Source organism: Homo sapiens, chromosome 13, assembly GCF_000001405.40.
Source record: "Homo sapiens chromosome 13, GRCh38.p14 Primary Assembly".
Lineage (NCBI taxonomy): Eukaryota > Metazoa > Chordata > Mammalia > Primates > Hominidae > Homo > Homo sapiens.
Window position 1 is genome coordinate 92,478,440 of NC_000013.11, and position 6,004 is coordinate 92,484,443.

Here is a 6,004-nt window from a genome sequence, read left to right on the forward strand (position 1 = left end):
CAATAACTATTTGATGGGATAATTTAAAGAGAGCCTGCCATCACAGCGATCATTATCTGCAAAAGTGATAATTCGCTAAAAATGTATGCCTAACTTGGTAATAACTTAATATCGCAGTGGTAATTTTTAATCAATAAACTGGAATATAATCAGATTGGGGAATATGTAAATCTATATCAGTTCAGTGAAACCTGTCAATAGGAAGAGAAAAGATAAAAAGGTAAAAATCAGATTGAATTTGGGGGGAAAGCTTGAAAGAAATGCAGTTACACCTCTGCTGTGATACTCAGCATGGGACATAAAGAGTCCCACCGCAGGGCTTGAATTTATAGGAATCTATCCAGCGGCACTTTGTCCAACGTTGGACCTTCCTAACAGACAAAAAGAAATCTTATACTCTTGCTTCTTAGTATTTAATATATGCATTATGTGCTTTTTAATTTTTTTGTCCTACGAAAGAGTAGCTGATGGTGCTGGATTGAAGGCATATCTACTCTGCCTCTGACTAGCAATATGAAATTGGTTAAGTTATTCAGCCTCTCTACATTTCAGTTTCAGGAAATGAAGTGGACTAAGAATATCGTCATTAGGCAATATGTACCTCCAATATTCTGTATTATGTGGAGATGTCAAGTCTGTATTTGATTACACAAATTATAAGTCCAAAAGAGTTCAGAATGAGTCATATAGAATTGAAAGTCCTATTTATAGAGATACTGGTTAAAGCACAGGAATTAGATGGGTTTAACATACTTCATCTGTGTATAGAAAAGAGTATAGGCTCAGGAAAGGGCCCAGGGACATACCACGATTGGGCCCAGGAGACAGTAAGAGAGTTTCAGTGACTAAGGAGATGCAAGGAGAGCATGGGATTTCTGAAACCAGGAGAAGAAAGCCTTTATCATAGAAGCAAGCGATAAACTTCACTAAACACTTGTAGGACATTTTGGACAAGAACAGAAGAGTTACCTTTGATTTTCACTGCATGTAGCTTAACAAAAGTTCATAGAGGCAGTGAAAATGAAATCTCAATTAGAGTGGTCTGAGGAGAGAATTCAGGTGATGAAGTAGAAAATGCGACTATAGATGGCTCTAGAAGTTTTACTTTTAAGAGTAGCAGAGAACTGGAGTACAGCTGCAGACATAGTTCCTCCTCCTCCCTGTCCTCCACCTCCAGTTTCTTCTTCTTTCCATGAGTGTAACAGAATGAAATTCAGGGCATAATCCTGTAGAAAGTAAGACATTGAAAGAGACTGGATAATCCTCCAAAATAAATAAATCCTCAGATGATGCCAGGCAGGGGGCTCTAGCACACAAAGTGATTGACATCTGATAGGAATTGAGCTGTTTTATCCACATAACAATTATTTTTCGGAGAAAATCTAATTGTAAAAATATAGCTGAAAACCAAAGATTAGCCTTATGTGTGTGTATGATAACTTGCGATGTAAAATGCGTTTCTCAATATAGGTCCTGGTCAAAAATTTTAAAAGTAAAATACCTTGAGGGAACTACAGTCAGAGGACAGCAGGATGAAGGATAATCATCAGAAAGAATACAAAGTGGGCCAGGCATGCTGGTTCATGACTGTAATCCCAGTGCTTTAGGAGGTGGAGCTGGGAGGATCACTTGAGGCCAGGAGTTTGAGACCAGCCTGGGAAGCCTAGAGCCCCATCTCTACAAAAATAAAAACAAAAGACTACAAAGTAGAAAAATCAGAGTGAAATAGAATCTTCAATACAAACAGTAGGGGGATTTTAGCAAACAGTAGCTGACTAACATCAGATGGTGCTAAGATTTGTATGGAGTTCAGTGCAGAGAGGTCTTTTTAACAAGCAATTTAAATGTGAACATTGCCTTGTTTACACAGCTCACATAAAGTGCAGTATAATGTGCAGGGAAAAAAAGTAAAAAGCTTAAATAATCTTTATTCTTAGGACAGTGTTTTTCAAATAAGGATTATGGCTCACTTTTGGATCATAACATAAAATAATTTTCTTGTGGCTCCAAGAAAAAGAAAACCCAAGTTTAAGAAGGCTTAACAATGGAGGTTACCTGTATCATATAAGAAGTCCTGAGTTATACATCTACTAACAATAGATCCATGGCAAGACACATGTTAGAATTTGCACTTTGGAATGGTCTTTCTCTCACATTTCTAGTCTCATGGTCGCAAGATGACAGATTATCCCAGGCCTCGTGTTTACATTCGCAGACTAAAAAACACTGTGGTAGATAGGAAAAGCCCCTCCCCAGAGATGACTCCCAAGTCCTCACTCCCAGACCTGTGAATTTGTTGCCTTACAGTCAGGCAACAAATCAATCTACAGATGTGATTAAATTAAGGATCTGGAAATGAAGGGATTAACCTGTCTTACCTGGGTGAGTTCAGTGTAGTCATAAGAGTTGAGTGAGCCAGGAGATTTGGCGAGGGAGGTGTGACCCTGGAAGCAGAATGATGTGGATTAAGAAAGACTCACCTAGCGATTGCTGGTTTTAAAGATGGAAGGGTATCATGAGCCAAGGCACATGAGTGCCTCTTGAAGTTGGAAAAGGCAAAGGAACAGGTTCTCCCCTAGAACATCCAGACAATGTCACTCAGTGGGTTCTACTTCAGGCTTCTGACCTCCAGAACTGTAAGATCACTAATTTTTATATTTTTTTGCATTTTTTTTTTTTGAGACAGAGTCTTGCTCTGTTGCCCATGCTGGAGTGCAGTGGTGTGATCTCTGCTTACTGCAAGCTCTGCCTCCCAGGTTCACGCCATTCTCCTGCCTCAGCCTCCCGAGTAGCTGGGACTACAGGTGCCCACCACCATGCCCAGCTAATGTTTTGTATTTTTAGTAGGAACAGGGGTTTCACCTTGTTAGCCAAGATGGTCTCGATCTCCTGATCTCGTGATCCGCCCACCTTGGCCTCCCAAAGTGCTGGGATTGCAGGCATGACCCACCGCGCCTGGCCAATTTTTGTATTTTAAGACACCAGGCTTGTAGTAATTTGTTATAGCAGCAATGGGAAACTAACAAACATGTATGCGCAAAAAGGGGAAAAGAGTTGGGCCAGTTGAGTTTGTCACTTTGTATCCGGAAAGCAAAACCCTTCACAGAAACCTTACTGAACTTTCATTTGCTTACATCTCCCGTTCCAGAATTAGGCTGCATGACCACTGTGGATCAACCACAAACCAAAAGAATTCAATTATCATGGCACTGTTCAATTAGACAATCACAGTTCATCTCTTGGAGCTGAGATGGGGGATCATTTCCTTTCTTTTCTAAGATCTACTGAACTCTCATTAGCTGGAAAAAAAAATCAAATTCTATTGGGAGAGAAGAAGGGGGTTGAAGACAAGTGGATTTTTAATACCTAGCTGATGTTGGGAGGCTAAGTATAAAAAGACATTCTGTGGCTGGGCGCAGTGGCTGACACCTGTAAACCCAGCACTTTGGGACGCAGAGGTGGGCGGATCACCTGAGGTCAGGAGTTTGAGATCAGCCTGGCCAATATGGGGAAACCGCATCTCTACTAAAAATACAAAAAAATTAGCCGGGTGTCGGGGTGGGCACCTGTAATCCCAGGTACTTGGGAGGCTTAGGCAGGAGAATTGCTTGAACCCTGGAGGCAGAGGTTGCAGTGAGCCGAGATCGCACCATTGCACTCCAGCCTGGGCAACAAGGGCAAAACTCTGCCTAAAAAAAAAAAATTCCTGATGTTGGGTGCGTAGCAGCTTGTGCCTGACACACTGCCCCATATCCTTTCCACCAACAAGTCTCATTGTTTTCTTTCAAAAATACATTTCAAACGTGTCTTATGTCCACATGTCCACAACCACCATTCTGTTTTAATCTAACAACATCTCTCTTTTGAATTGCTTAAATGACCAGTTAATTCTCCTCCTAAAAGCTGTTTAGCTTCCCACTCGCCCCTATCTTATTTTTTTCCATTAGGTAGCCTGAAGAATCTCCTAAAAAATTAACTTGTCCATTCTCTGCTTTTTATACTACCTAACCACTTCTTGTTGAAGTTAGGATTAAGCTCAAAATCCTTAAGTGACTTACCTCTTTTGCAGCATTGCTTGTAGAGTAAAAGATTCTTTAACACCATTCTTCTTTCCAGCTTTGGCCAGGGTTTTTTTCCCCCCTTAAATACTACTAGTTATATAATTAAATTTTAGTTTATGCACCAATTTGAATGAATACTTGATAAATGTCTCTACTTGTAATTTATAACTTCCATTAGAGTGGAAGTCAGGTACACTTTTACCCACGATTGTATTGCACTTAAACTGGAACTGTTGAGTGGGTGAATAATCAATAAAATGAGCAAATAGTTCTCATCCTTAAGAACATTCTAAATCAGTAGGAAGAAAGAATGAGTAACTATAGTTATGCCATGCTTAATGATGGGGATACTGTATTAGTCTGTTCTCACCCTGCTAATAAAGACATACCTGAGACTAGTTAATTTATAAAGGAAAGAGGTTTAATGGACTCCCAGTTCCACATGGCTGGGGAGACCTCACAATCATGGCAGAAGGCAAAGGAGAAGCAAAGGCACGTCTTACATGGCAGCAGGCAGGAGAAGCTTGTGCAGGGGAACTCCCATCTATAAAACCATCAGATTGAGACTTATTCACTATCACGAGAACAGTATGGAGGAAACCGTCCCCATGATTCCATTATCTCCACTTGGCCTTGCCTTGACATGTGGGGATTATTACAATTCAAGGTGAAATTTGGGTGAGGACACAGCCAAACCATATCAGATACATTCTGAGAAATGCATGTTTCTGTGATTTCATAATTGTGTGAACATCATGAGCATACTTACACCAACCTAGATGATACAGCCCACTCCCCACCTAAGGCTACATGGTGGAGCCTTTTGCTCCCAGGCTACAAACCTGTATGACATGTTACTGTACTGAATAGTGTAGGCAATTGTAACACAATGGTAAGTATTTGTGTCTCTAAACATAGAGAAGATACTGTAAAACTACAGTGTAAAAGATAAAAAATAGTACACCTTATAGGGAAATTACTATGAATGGAGCTTTCAGGCCACAAAGTTACTGTGGGTGAGTCAGTGAGTGGTGAGTGAATGTGAAGGCCGAGAAAATTACTGTAAACTAGTGTAGAGTTTATAAATACTATACACTTAGAATACCCAACAATTATTAAAAATATTTCTTTTTCTTCAATAATAAATTTACCTTAACACTGTAATTTTTTACTTTATAATTTTGTTTTTTAACATTTTGACTTTTCTATAATAAATGTAGCTTAAAACATACTGTACAGTTATACCTGATTTTTTTGTTATATTATTCTAAAGCTTTTATCTAGTTTCTTTTTTTTTTTCCTTTTTTATTAAAAGCGAAGACACAAACACACATTAACCTAGTCTTGCCAGGCACTGTGGTTCATATCTGTAATCCCAGCACTCTGGGAGGTCAAGGTGGGAAAAGGCCTCCTCCTCTTGAGGCCAGGAATTTGAGACATACCAGGACAACATAGCAAAACCTTGTCTCTACAAAACATTTAAAATAACTGGCCAGGTATAATGGCATGCACAGGTGGTCATAACTACTCAGGAGGCTGAGGTGGGAGGACCGCTTGAGCCCAAGAGTTTACGGCTACAGTGAGCCATGATCACTCCACTGCCCTTCAGCCTGGGCAACACAGTGATACCCTGTTTCAGAAAACAAAAATCAAAACATCTGGGCCTGCACAAGGTCAAGATCATCAGTATCACTGTCTTCCACCTCCACATCTTGTACTACTGGAGGGACTTCAAGGTCAGTAACACTCATGGAGCTGTCATCATGTATGATAACAACGACTCTTGGAATAACTTCTGAAGGATCTGTCTGAAGCTGTTTTACAGTTAATTTTTGTTTTTTAATATGCAGAAGGAGTATACTCTAAAATAACTATAAAAAGTAGAGTAAATACCTAAACCAGTAGCTTAGTCATGTATTATCATTACCAAGTATTATGTACTA

The 6,004-nt window shown here is 39.7% G+C and overlaps 1 protein-coding gene across 2 annotated transcripts in view; it reads left to right on the forward strand.

The window, feature by feature from the left end:
* GPC5 (glypican 5) overlaps positions 1–6,004 on the forward strand; it is a 1,468,617-nt gene that overhangs the window by 1,079,819 nt on the left and 382,794 nt on the right. The window lies entirely within an intron of this gene.